The sequence below is a fragment of the Homo sapiens genome, chromosome 9 (genome assembly GCF_000001405.40).
Source record: "Homo sapiens chromosome 9, GRCh38.p14 Primary Assembly".
NCBI classification, from domain to species: domain Eukaryota; kingdom Metazoa; phylum Chordata; class Mammalia; order Primates; family Hominidae; genus Homo; species Homo sapiens.
The window spans coordinates 93616105-93630545 of record NC_000009.12 but is presented as its reverse complement, the minus strand read 5'-3'; the positions used below and the strand labels follow the sequence as shown (position 1 = coordinate 93630545).

The 14441-nt window shown below is 48.8% G+C and overlaps 1 protein-coding gene across 5 annotated transcripts in view; it reads right to left on the bottom strand.

Annotated features, from left to right (window-relative positions):
* The window catches only part of PHF2 (PHD finger protein 2), a 103004-nt gene that overhangs the window by 49042 nt on the left and 39521 nt on the right, over window positions 1-14441 (bottom strand). For 4 of the 5 annotated variants that reach the window (XM_005252051.3, NM_005392.4, XM_006717143.3 and 1 more), the window contains exon 2: window positions 491-576. In XM_005252051.3, coding sequence (XP_005252108.1) covers window positions 491-576 — 86 coding nt within the window. Of the gene's footprint in view, window positions 1-490; window positions 577-9937; window positions 10042-14441 lie in introns of those variants that run through there. The other variant, XM_047423474.1, reaches the window with a different exon arrangement.

The window sequence follows — 14441 nt, the reverse complement described above, 5'->3', positions numbered from 1 at the left end:
CTCTGCAGAGGAAGAGGTGGGTGGCATGAGGCGGGGCTGGAAAAGGAGGGGAGGACAGAGCCCACCAACAATGCACGTGCCCAGAAAACAGACAGGCTGGGCCCCCCGTGTAGCAGTGGCTGGCTGGGCCGGGCTAGGCTGGGGGCCCCTAGAAAACCCCCGCATCACCATTTATCCAGGTCCCCAAGTCCGTGTCCCCCTAACTCAGGCTGGCCTGGCCTCTCGCTAGGCCTCAGAAGGCCCTTTGAGTCTTTGCACAGCTGCCTCTGCCAGCGGGAGCTGATCAGGAGGGGCTACAGTGGGCCTAGTGAGGCTACAGGGGACAGTAAGCTAGGCTGGCAGGGTCCCCAGGCCTAGACACTACTCAGGGCGTTTTGCCCCCAGCAACCCAGGGCCCAGGCCCAGCAGAGACCTCACCCTCCACGCAGCCCAGGCAGGGTGGATGCTGCTCTCTTCCGCAAGAGATGGCCGCTTGGGCTGCGGTACTTACAGGTGGACTTCCCATGGGTTTTCTCACAGTTTGGGCAGTGGTATATGTCGATGTCGGGCGCCTCCTCCTCTTCCACCCCAACACAGCTGAAACGAGACGAAATAGACCATTACCTAGGCATTCAGCACCCCCTCAAGCACTTTCCATCTGCGAAGCTCTAGGGAGAATCCCTGCTCATTGTCTGGGAACCTGGGCCAGATGGAGCACAGCTGTGCAGGGACAGTGTTCTACTAGGAAAGCAGGGTGGAGGGAAAGAGCTGCAGAGATGTCCTCCTGGAAAGGCCTCTGCAGCCTGGACCTAGATACAGCGTCTGGATATGCCCCACCATGAGGACCCAATGAATAGGCCATCTACCAAGCCTGCCTGGGTGAGGGTCACCAATGCCCCGTCACCCAGGGGGCAGGGAAGGAAGAGGGGTTCTCAGAGCCAGGCTGTCCCCATCACTTCACCAGGGGTAACCTGAGGGGGCAGAAAACACCAGAGGCAGCTCAGAGCCCCTCCTGTGGGCCATACCATAGCCACCCATCCAGCTCATCCTCATGGGGGCCAAGAAGAGGCCTACCAGCCTGGCCTTAGGACATGTCCAGGACTCCAGACATCATGACCACTCTTTCCTCATTCCCTCCCTGGAGTTCCTCCAGACCCCTTGCAAACCTGCTTGGAGACTTAGAACAAGAGAGAGCCACCTCCTATGCAGATGGTCGGGCTACAGGCCTTAAGCCATTTGAGGAATGAACACAAAGAGTATCAAAGGACACAACCTAAGACATCAATAAACTTCTACAGAAGCTAACCCAGCAAAATGGAAATGCTTTGTTTTATTCTGATACTTTTTTTAGTTAAAAGTGACATGAGGCCAGGCACGGTGGCTCATGTCTGTAATCCCAGCACTTTGAGAGGCCGAGGTGGGCGGATCACTTGAGGTCAGGAGTTCGAGATCAGCCTGGCCAACATGGTGAAACCCTGTCTGTAATAAAAATACAAAAAAAATTAGCCGGAGCACAGTGGCACACACCTGTAATCCCAGCTATTCGGGAGGCTGAGGTGGGAGTATTGTTTGAGCCTGGAAGGCAGAGGTTGCAGTGAGCCGAGATTGCACCACTGCACTCCAGCCTGGGCAACAGAATGAGACTCCATCTCAAACAAAAAAAAAGTGACGTGAGAATGGGCATCTGTAACATGTAAAGAAGCCCCCAAGACTAAATAAGAACACAGTGGATAATGGGCAGGGCACAGGTCCAGACAACTCCCACAAGAAGAATGCAGCAAACAAACTGGAAAATACTTCAACATCTTCCTCTAGTGAGCAAATGCATGTAAATAAAACTGACCAGTAAATTTAAAAAGGGACATTCCCCCCAGGTAGCCCCAGAATGTCGCCACAGCAGGGGGTCAGGGCAGCAAGCTACCTGGAATGGAAGCTATAGATGTGCATGAAGCAGACTGTTTTTACTCAGGGCAAACAAAAAAATGAACATAAAGACACTGTTGACCTTAAGGAAATAAAAAAGGATTATAACAGAATACTATGAAAAATTATAGGTCAATAAATTACATAACCTGGATGAAATGGAGAAATGCTCAGAAGCACACAAACTGCCAAAACTGACTCAAAAAGAAACAGAACATTTGAACAGACCTGTAACAAGTAAAAAGATTAAATCAGTAATCAAAAAACCTCCCCCAAAAAGAAAATCCCAGAAACCATCACTAGTGAATTCTATCAAACATTTAAAGAAGAATAACACCAATCCTTCTTAAACTTTTTCAGAAAATAGAAGAGGGGGGAACATTTCCTAAGCATTACCCTGAGCCCAAAGCCAGACAGAGACACTATAAGAAAACTACAGACCAGTATCTCTAATGAATATTGATGTAAAAATCCTCAACAAAACACCAGTAAATAAAGTCTAGGAGCATATTAAGGGGACGGTGCACCATGACCAAGTGGGATTTATCACAGGAATGCAAGGACGGTTCAGTACATGAAAATAAATCAGTGCTTCAACACCTAAAGCATCAAGTCTGACTGCAAGAAGAAAAAGATGCAATCCTGGGGCTCTGTCCTGGAGGATGGGACAGCAGAAGCTGTGCTTCTCTTTCCTTCACCCTGGAGGACAGATCTCCCCAAGTGGGTAAAATACAAGAAGCAGCAGGGCTCACCTGGCTCTTTCTCCTGAGCTGGCACAGCCCTCTGCCTCATTCTTATGTTCCCATCTCTCCCAATCCTTCCCCAATTCCCCATCCTCCCCAAGACACATTACACCATATTAACACAATGATGAAAAATCCTACGTGACCATCTCAATTGATACAGAAAAAGCACTCAACAAAATCCTTTCATGATAAAAATACTCTACAAACTAGGAATAGAGGGGAACTTCTTCAACATGATGAAAGCCATGGATGAAAAATCCACAGCAAACATTGTATACAATGGTGAAAGACTGAAAGCTTTTCCCATAAGATGAGGAGGAAAATAGGATGCCTATTGTTGCCACTTCTGTTTAACACAGTACTGGAAGTTCTAGCCAGAGCAATTAGACAAAAAAAAAAAAAAAATCCTGAAATAAAAGGAGTCTGAATTGGAAAGGAAGATATAAAATTACCTTTATTTGCATATGACATAATCCTACATATAGAAAACTCTAAAGGAATCCATACACAGAAAAACTTTCTATACCTAACAAATAAATTCAGAAGGTGTAGGTGCAAAAACAACACACAAAAACCAGTTGGATTTCTACACACTAGCAATGAATAATCTGAAAATAAAATCAAGAAAGCAATTACCATTATAATACCATCAAAAATAACAAAATATTAATATGTAGGAATAAATTTAACCTAGGAGATGCAAGACTTGTATACTGCTGAAAGAGGTCTTAAAGGATACAAAGAAATGGAAATATATTCCATGTGGATGAACTGCAAGACTTAATAGTGTTAAGACGGCAATACTACCTAAAGGAATCTACAGATTCAATGCAATCCCTATCAAAATCCCAACAACTTTGTTTACAGAAATGGAAAAGCTAAGAAAACTTACACTTCCTGATTTAAAACTTACTACAAAGCTATGATAAAACAGTGTGGCACTGGCATAAGGATAGACATATAGATCAATGGAATAGAACTAAAACCTCAGAAATAAACCCATACATCAACAGCCAACTGATTTTTGACAAGGGTTCCTAGACCATGCAATGGAGAAGGAATAATCTCTTCAACAAATGGTGCTAAGGCAAGTGGACATCCACATGCAAAGGAATGAAGTTGGATGTCTACCTCACACCACATACAAAAATTAACTAGAAATGGATTGGCAACCTAAATATGAGCTAAAATTATAAACCTTTTAGAAGAAAACATAGGAGTAAATCTTCATGACACTGAATTTGACAATAGATTCCTAGATATGACACCAAAAGCATGAACAACAAAAGAAAAAATTGCTAATTTGGATTCCATCAAAATTAAAAACTTTTTTGCCTTAAAGGACACTATCAACAGAGTAAGAAGGCAAGTGACATTAAAGGAGAAAGTACTTGCAAACCATAAATAAGACAAGGGTATGGCATCCACAACATATAAAGAACTATTACAGTTCAACAATAAAAAGACAAACAATCCGATTAATAAACAGGTAAAGGACTTTGAACAGACATTTCTTCAAAGAAATATGCAAATGGACAACAAGCACATGAAAAGAAGCTCAACATTCTCAGTCATTAAGGAAATTAAAATCAAAACTACAGTAAGATATCACTTCACACCCACTAGGATGGCTACAATTTTTTTTGTTGTTTTTGAGATGGAGTCTTGCTCCCATCACCCAGGTTGGAATGCAGTGGCATGATCTCAGCTCACTGCAACCTCTGCCTCCCAGATTCAAGCAGTTCCCCTGTCTCAGCCTCCCGAGTAGCTGGGACTACAGGTGCCTGCCATCACGCCTGGCTAATTTTTGTATTTTCAGTAGAGATGGGGTTTCACCTTGTTGGTCAGGCTGGTCTCAAACTCCTTACCTCAGATGATCCACCCACCTTGGCCTCCCGAAGTGCTGGGATTATAGGCATGAGCCACCGCGCCCGGCCAATTTTTTTTTTAAAGTAAGTTTTGGAGAGGATGTGGAGAAATCATAACCCTCTTACATCAATGGTAGAAACGCAAGCACTGTGGGGAAAAATTTGATGTTTCCTCAGAAAATTAAACATAGAATTACAATGTGACCCAGCAATTCCACTGACAGATACATACCCAAAAGAATTAAGAATAGGTACTGTGTATTGTGACTCATGCCTGTAATCCCAGTACTTTGGGAGGCCAAGGTGGGCAGACCACTTGAAGTCAGGAGTTTGAGACCAGCCTGACCAACATGGCAAAACCCTGGCTCCACCAAAAATACAAAAATTAGCTGGGCATGGTGACACATACCTGTGGCCCTAGCTACTCAGGAGGCTGAGGCATGAGAATCACTTGAACCCAGGAAGCAGAGGTTGCAGTGAGCCGAGACTGTGCCACTGCACTCAAGCCTGGCCAATGAAGCAAGACTCTGTCTCCAAAAAAAAAAAAAAAAAAAAAAAAAAGGTACTCAAACAAATCCTTGTACATAAATGTTCCTAACAGTATTATTCACAATAACCAAAAAGTGGAAATTGCCCGAATGTCCACTGACAGATGAATGGATAAACAAAATGTAGTCTGTATATACAATGGAATATTATTCAGCCTTAAAAAGGAATGAGGTCCTGATACATCCTACAATGTGGATGAATCTTGAAGGCATTATACTAAATGAAAGAAGCATGACACATGAGGACTAATGCTGTATGATTCCACTCACATGAAATGATAATATGTTTACAATAGGTATATCCATGGAGACAGAAAGCTGACTAGTGGTGCCAGAGGGTGGGAGGAGAGAGGAATGAGGAGTTACTGTTTAGTGGGTGTGGAGTTTCCTTTGGAAATTAAAATATTTTGAAGCTAGATAGAGGCAATGGTTGCATAGCATTGTGAATTTACTAAGTACCACTGAATTGTTCATTTTAAAACAATTAATATTATGCTATGTGAATTTTAACTCAATAAAAGAGAAAAAAAGAACCTGGCCCTGTGAGAGTGACAACATCATCTCCATCACCACCATCACCATCACCAACATTGCCACACCATCATTATCATCATCACTTCAACCACTATCATCACCACCACCATCATCATCATCACCATCATCATCACCATCACCATCACCAGCACTGCCACACCATCATTATCATCATCACCTCAACCACCATCATCATTATCATTACCATCACTATCACCAACACACCATCATCATCATCACCTCTACCACCATCGCCACCACCATCATCATCATCACCATCACCACCAACACCATCACCAACATTGCCACACCATCATTATCATCATCATCTCAACCACTATCATCATCACAACGACCGTTGTCATCACCAACATCGCCACACCATCATTATCATCATTATCATTTCAACCACTATCATCATCACCACCACCATCACCGTTGTCATCACCATCACCACCATCACCATCACCGCCACACCATCATCATCTCAACCACTATAATCACCACCACCACCATTACCAACATTGCCACACCATCATTATCATCATCACCTCCACCCTCATCACCATCATTTTCATCACCATCACCAACAATGCTACACCATCATTATCATCTCAATCACCATCATCATCCTCACCAAGATTATCATCACCATCACCTTCACCATCACCATCACCATCAACACCATCACAAACTCCATCATCACTAACTCTGGCTGAGCACTCACTCTGAGACACGCAGCATGCTAAGAACTCTAAGAGCATTATTTTCCAACAACCCTGCAATAATGGGAATTCTTATTATTAGCCTTATTTACCACAATAGGGAAATTGAGGTAGGTATGAGAGGTTAAGTGCCTGCCCAGACACAGAATAGTCTCCTTATTCATTCACTAAGGATAGTACTGCCCTTGCCCTTGGGGCATTTACACATGCAAAGGAAGCCAGGCAAAGAGATGGGTGGGCCTGGCCCGGAGTGAACACTCGTTAGACAGTGAGCTGTTACTGCTAGTGCCCAGTGTATCAGACTAACCCTGCAAGGCCACCAGGGTCTTGGGCCCTAGACGAGTGTTCTGTTCCACAGCCACCACAGTCTTGAGTTCTGGGAACAGAGCATGAAGCCCAGAAAAAGATCTTGGCAAATTGTTTTTGAAAATATAAAGTTCACTCTATCTTAGAATACAAGCTAAAGTCAAGTCCACACACTCCAAAGAGTCAAGTGTAAAAGAAAAGCCATCAAAAGCACAACATGAGGGAATATTTTTCTGCTCTCAGGGTGCAAAGTGAGAGCATCTTCATAATGAAACAAAGAAAAATTGGAAAGGAAACTCAGAACATTGATGAATGAAAATTATGCTCCAAAATACCAAAACAAACTTTAAAATGCACAGTGTTAATATTCTTCCTTCATGAAGTTTATAAGGGTGTCTGCCCAATAGAAGCAAAGGCCCAAAGCCAGGAACAGGACCAGGGCATAGCACTATGGCATGTGAAGAAGAGCTCAGCACAGAGGAGGGCAGGACAGGGCTAGAAAACGTCACGTGCACTCACTACAGTGCCACATATACCTCAGGTTCTCATCAGTGACACCAAGTATCAGCCACATGCAAAGACTTTTGTGGGACCAGATGAACTGGGAGCTGAAGACAGTCCCTTCAGCACCATCATTACTCACTTCAAGCATACATGTTATAATATATTGCCCTGGAGCTGGTTGAGCTCTTGCAGCCCAGAAATTAGACCCAGAATCCACATTGCACATCAGACCCTACATCCATGTGAGACCCCAAATCCACATCCACAGCCACAACCACACTCCATGTCCATGCCCACATACACAGTCACACCCATGCCCCATGTCCACACCCTCACCTGGCCCCTGGCTGCTCCAGGCTGTGCCCTCACTGCAGCATCTGGAGCAGATGAAGGCACAGGACAGGCTACACCAACCTGACCTGATTCTGCCACCATCCCAGCAGGGCCCTTGCACACACATGGCCCATCACACACACCTGCCTGTCAGGCCTTTATGGGTTGGTGCTGACCCTCAGGCAGAAGGTCAGAGGTCAGACCACCAAACTCAGAGTAGAACAGACAGACAGACTCGGGGCTCAGTTAGCAGGGCCAGCACTCCCTGGAACATGCCTGTTCTGGGGACAAGACTTGGCGTGAGGGGCTAGAGACACCAGGATCCTCACAGGGCCTTTGGACAGGAGCCCCCTGAAGGATTCACTCTCCAGGCTGGAGGTCAGAAGTCCAAATGGGTCTCACCGGGCTAAAATCAAGGTGTGGGCAAGGGCAGCTCCCTCTGGAAGCTCTAGGGAGAATTTGTTCCCACCTCCTCCAGTTCCTAGAGGCCATCTGCACTCCCTGGCTCCCGGCCCCTTCCATGTTCAAAGCCAGTGATGGCCAGCCGAGCTCTCACAGACGTTGCCCTGACTCAACCCTCCTCCCCTCCTAAGGACCACTGTGATGACGCTGCAGCTGCTGGGTCATCCAGGACAGTCTCCCCATCCACAGCTGGCTGAACAGCCCCAACTCCATCCACAGCTTCCCTTCCTCCCCTCTTGCAATGCTACTTAAAGTTGCAGGATTAGGACATGGGTGACAGCGGGGGCTGTTATTCTGCCGACCGAGCTAAGAAACACACCTCAGGGTGACCTCAGGCTCGGTGTATGGACAGGCTGGCTGGGCCTTGACCAGACCCCAAGCCCAAACTGAAGCCCACATGAGGCCCCAGCAGTGCCTGTGAATGTAAGGAAGTCCTAGTCTCCTCAAACTCCATCCCTCTGGCCACCCAGGCCTCACCCCTCCCTGTGATATAGCAGGGACAAGGTGACAACAGCCATGGTGAGCCAGTGACTCAGCACAGGAAGGACAAGCCATGGCTAGGAGCTGCACCCACAGCTTGGACCACCTTGGTGCATGGAAAGGCCCCCAAATGCCCCAGGTGGTTGGGCACGTCCCCAATGAACAACATCCTTTTAATAGTCCAGGGGTTGGTGCACCACAGGAGCTGAAGGGCTCTCCAGACCTCGGCTCTAAGGGTGCAGAGGGAACTGCCCTGTCCAAAGGCCACATGGGAGTTAGAGCTGCAGTCAGTCAACAAGGATGGAAATCAACATGTCCTTAAAATACACCTCCCCACCAAGAATCAGGCTCCTCAGCTCTGGATATTGGCACGGGGTCCTGGATCCTGGGGGCAGACAGCACAAGCCTACTTTACAGGGGGGAAGGCCGAGGCTCAGGGGTCACAAGAACGTGCACGGCCAGCACAAGGACTCAGAGGCACAAAGGTCAGGTGGGGATCCAGTCCTCACACCTGGCCCCGCCCTCCATAACGTGCCCACCTGTGTGGCTCCAGGCTCTGGGCCAGTGTCCACTTTAGGACGCTCTGCCCTGGCACAGCCAATCCACTTGCACAAGGAGGGGCCCCTTGTGGGCTTCCTCCTTCCAGCACCACCCACCCCTGGGCCATCTGCTGGGAGGATGAACTGGGTGGCACAGGTGAAAGGCCTCACCTTGGCCAGGACAGCTGCCTTGGTCAGTCATTTACTGCTTTGTGCAGGAGACCCCAAGAGACTGAGAGAAAAGAGAGGTGGTCATGGTGGAAGGGTCCTTCTGCCGCCCAAAAGAAGCTCAGAGAACCAAAGGCCTCAGCACCCCCTCACCACCTAGGTGCCTGGGCCAGAGGCAGGGGCTGCATCCAGGGCCCGCCCACCAGGGTTGTGGGGGGTGACCACTGGGCTGCCCCTCCTGCCCCTCCAAGGCTGAAGGAAGTAGACCCTCCACAGGGATCCAGGCCAGATCCCCTGCTAGCACCGACCCTACATCTGCATTGCTGCTCCAACCCCTGCTGCCTGTGCCACCAACCCCGACAGTGGCCACTTGGCAGGTGAAACTAAGTCTCAGGGCATTCAGCCTGGCTCTGCCACTAGCTGTGGCTATATGCCAAGGAGACAGCACCTAACGAGGATCCAGGGCTTCGATTGTGCAAGCTCCAGCACAGTGAGCTCCATTAGGGGCCATCCTGTTCTCACAGAAGAGACTGTTTGCCGACACTGGGCATTTATTTTATTGTACCAGAATTAGGGCTTTCTAAATGCCCCCTAAGAAATTATTCAGAAAATTGGCAAAACGAAAAATAAGAGGAGAATAATAACTACAGAAAAATGGAAAATATTTTCCTCACACTAAAGCCAGGAGCATAAGATACTGAGAATCTGAAGGAGACTAGGTAACACCAAAACAGTTACAGCATCCCAAGGCCATGTTAGCAGATGACTTCATTATTTCAGAGACAAAAACAAGCACAAGCTTCTCATTAACAAAAAACCAACCTCAACCCCTCACTAATGCAGAGTGGGCAATTCCCAGATATCCACGTGCTTGTGGCCTGTGTCCACTCTGCCCTCTGCAGGAAGCCCATCGTGGGCCACCTGAGAGGCAAGCAGCCACATCTTGCTGACTTCAAAGGTTGTCGCCCATGGGGACAGTGCTGGCTCACAGGAGCTGAGCTCACAAAGGATCCCCCAGCCAGGCCCACTCGTCCACCTATGTCCTGCAGACAGGCCCTCGTGCCTCACCTGCTGCCCCTGCCCCAGCGTGGGGATGCATCCCAGGACACAGACAGAGGCTCCATGAGGACCCAGATGTGGGGAAGTGGGTGAGGACGGTCCTCACAGAACCAGGGCCCCAGACTCAGACCTTTCAGAAGACAGAAGGTGGGCCTCTCCCTCCTGGGAACAGGAGCTGGAGCCCTCTGCAGGCCGCTGGCCACCTAGCCTTGTACACTCCCAGGCTGGGCCCTGCAGGTCTGTCCCGGGAGCCCACCCACATCTGCAGAAAGAGCAGGTCACAGGCTGCTTGTGGTCAGGTGAGCCAGGACTGCAGAGTCCGAGGGAGAGCAGGGCATTTGGCTGAGCTGAAGCCCAGGGACGCCTTCTAAGGCTGTGCTAAGCAGGGCTTCTGCTTCTCCAAAAACTCAGGGCAGACCAGACCAGGAGAAAACCCAGGAGCTGAGAGAGGCGGTGCCTGGCCACACACAGACCTCAGAGGCCACCAGGGGCACAAATGTCACCCCAGGACCTTAGTATTAAACAGAACATCAACAAAAAGGCAAAGTTGGCCGGCCCCTTTCCCTTTTTAACCCTGGCTAAGAGCAGCACCCCCTGAGTTTCTTCCTGCGACAACAGAAGCTTGTTGGCCGAAGTGCAAACTTCAGGGGCCGCAACAGGCCCACCAGGGCTGGGTAGCAGGCATAGAGCACGGGCCACGGGGTGCCACCAGCAGGTATGGAGCACGGGCTACCGGAAGCCACCAGCAGGCATGGCACACAGGCCACCAGGAACCACCAGCAGGCGTGGAGCACAGGCCACCAGGGGCTACCAGCAGGCGTGGAGCACAGGCCACTGGGGGCCATCTGAGCACCAGCCTGGTGAAGGCCCGCATCCACCACCCCACGAGTCGCCTTCTTGGCCTCCACCCTCCACCCTGAGGACACTTGGAATGCTCAGCCTCGTACAGGCAAGGTCAGCGGAGCAAAGTGCCAGCCCAGGATGCCAGCCCAGGACGCCGAATCAGGCCCTCTGAGCAAGTCCTCCTCGGCCAGTGAGGATCAAGTCGCCTGGTCCCTAAGAGATGGGCTCCAACGAGAGCAGTGTTTCCACCCACTCACAGGCCCAAGGGTCTGTGTCTCAGCTTGTGACCTCCCAGGAGCCAGGAGATGGCTGGGCAGGGGTCTCGTAAAGGCACACTGAGGGAAAGGGTAGGGCAAGGACCAAGGACAGACCCAGGCCTCAGAGCTACAAAGGAGAAGCGGAGAACATCCGCCTGAGCCAGTGAGGCCTGGGGGTGATCCACCTCTGCACAGGCAAGCGAGGTCTGCAGACCCCCAGTGTACCACATGGTGGGCAAGGACAGGCAGCTGCCTGTGAGCAGCTGGAAGAGGATCAGACCCACAGGGAAGTGAACAAGCACTAGAGTGAGGCCTGGGACCTGGCTTAGCACACATACAAACTCACACACCACACATGCAGACGCACATACACACACACACAAACATATGCAAACACAGAGACACACGAACACCACACACAGGCACACACACACACCACACACATCACACATGCAGACACCCTCATACACAGAAATACACAGATACAAACACAAACACATGCAGACACACAAACACAGGCATACACACACACATACACACAGGTGTGCAAGCGCAGAGTGCTGTGTGACCAGGATGCTATTAATATTACAATTTTTAAAAATAAAGTAGATCTTTACATACTGACATGGTAAGACACCAAAAATATATTGTTAAGTGAAGAACATCATGTTTTAGAAGAATGCGTATGGTACAATTCCTTTTGGTGGAAAACCCAAAACAAAATATGTGTGCGTATGTGCATGTGTTTCTATGTCCATATCTATGCACATGCATGTATGTGCACCCATGTGTATATGTGTGCACTGTGTGTGTGTGCTTGTATGCCCGTTTGTGTGTGCACGTGTATGCAGGCAGACGTACATTGCCATGTGTATGCATGCGTATGCGTGTCCATGTCTGTGTGCATCTGTCTATGCGTCTGCCCACGAGTGTGTCATGTGTGCGTGGTTCAGTCCACCACACTCACCTTGCCCCTGGGGGGCCCCAGTGGTGAGAATGGGGTGGAGGGCTGTGTGTTCAAGTGGCACAGGTGCAACAGCTGCATTAGCTCACTTGCCAACCAGATGAGGCCATGCTGGCTACTGGATTCATCTGAGCCAACTGTGACCCCAGCTTCCCCAAACTGAGTCAACTCCAAAGAAGTTTAAAGCTAATTTAGTGCCCAAAGCCCAATAACTAGAAAGATAATAGAAATTTCAAACACAGAGGTGAGTGGGTGTGGCAGTGATGAGACACTGCAGTGACTGACTGTCAACTTGATTGGACTGAAGGATGCAAAGTATTGATCCTGGATGTGTCTGTGAGGATGTTGCCAAAGGAGATTAACATTTGAGTCAGTGGGCTGGGAAAGGCAGACCCACCCTTAATCTGTGTGGGCACCATCTAATCAGCTGCCAGTGTGTGGCTGGAATATAAAGCAGGGAGACAAACCTGAAAAGACTAGACTTGGCCTAGCCTCCCAGCCTACATCTTTCTCCCGTGCTGGATCCTTCCTGCCCTCGAACACTGGACTCCACATTCTTCAGTTTTAGGACTCGGATGGCTTTCCTTGCTCCTCAGCTTGCAGATGGCCTATTGTGGGACCTTGTGATCGTGTGAGTTAACACTTAATAAACATATACATATCTATTAGTTCTGTCCCTCTAGAGAACCCTAACTAATAAAGACACCACAGGAAACGGCCAAGAAAAAGAAAGCTGAAAGGCTTCGGGGGCGGGGAGTGTAGAATTCAGATGCTTCCAGAGGCCCCACAATTGCCTCTTGGGATCTCTAAAGAAGCCTGTCTACTCTCTAAGAAAGTAGCCTGCTCCCCGCAAAACCTGAGTTCTCTCCCAGGTGCTTCTCTGGCTGCCTAAGATCCTCAGGCAAGGGCAGCCCCAGAGGGGAAGCGACTCTTCTGAGCTCTTCCCATAGGAATCCTTGTTCTGCAGACAGGACACAGTGGCTTTCTCACGGGTGATATGGAATTCTGACCCCAAGCATGCCAGTGCTTGCTAGCCCTGCTCATGGAGCTGCGGCCCTGCTGCAGGCTACAGGGTGCAGCCTCCTATGAGGACTTGAGTGGGCTAGGGGTTGCCTTCAGGGGAGCTGGAGGGTCCAGCACAGAAGCCCAGCCAGGAATGACCGACACCTGGCCCTGGCCCCTGGCTCAGACACCCTCCGACCATGCCACCCTCCAGACCATGCCAAGCCTGGAATGATCTCCCGAACAGCACAACCGGATTGCATTCCTGGTTTCTTCTGTTGTAGTTAAGAACATTCATTTAATGTAAACCATAATTTTTGAACCTAATTTTGACATTTAAAAAAAAAATTGGCTGGGTGCAGTGGCTCATACCTGTAATCCCAGTACTTTGGGAGGCCGAGGTGGGTGGATCACCTGAGGTCAGGAGTTCAAGACTAGCCTGGCCAACATGGAGAAACCCCGTCTCTACTAAAAATGCAAAATCAGCCAGGTGTAGTGGCACACGCCTATAATCCCAACTACTTGGGATGCTGCAGCAGGAGAAATCACTTGAACCCAGGAGGCGGAGGTTGCGGTGAGCCGAGATTGAGCCATTGCACTCCAGCTCCAGCATGGGCAACAGAGCGAAACTCTGTTTCAGAAAAAAAAAAAAAATTATAGGAGAAACATCAAATAAAAAAAAGAAGTGGCCTCTTTCACTCCCAGAGGTGAGGCAGACAGGCAGAGCCTTCACCTTACTTTGCCGCCCTCTGCAGCATCTGGCACAGGGTTCAAGGCACACTGTCGGAGCTCAGTTGGTGTCAGGCACACATTCAAGCTAGAAATGTCCCTCTGGCAAGGCTTATCTTTTGATAATACAAATCCACAATGCAGGTGGGGCTGCAGGGCAGGCACTCTTACCCTTCTAGTCAGGGGACTAACTTGGGAAGGAGTTTCCTGAACCCCAGCTGTATGTATCAAAAGCTTTAAAAAGATTTGCACCCTTCAGGCCAGAATTCCACATCGACAAATCTATTTTAAGGCAAAATGTACATATGCACACAAAGATTCATGTTAATGTGGTTTCTCCCACGGTTATTTAAAATAGCAAAAATTAGGAACAACACACATCTCCAGCCAGTAAGGGTCAGGTAACCAGGGCATGATGTGCTCCTGTGATGGGAGTATTACACAGCCATTAAACAATGGGTTGTACAAGTCT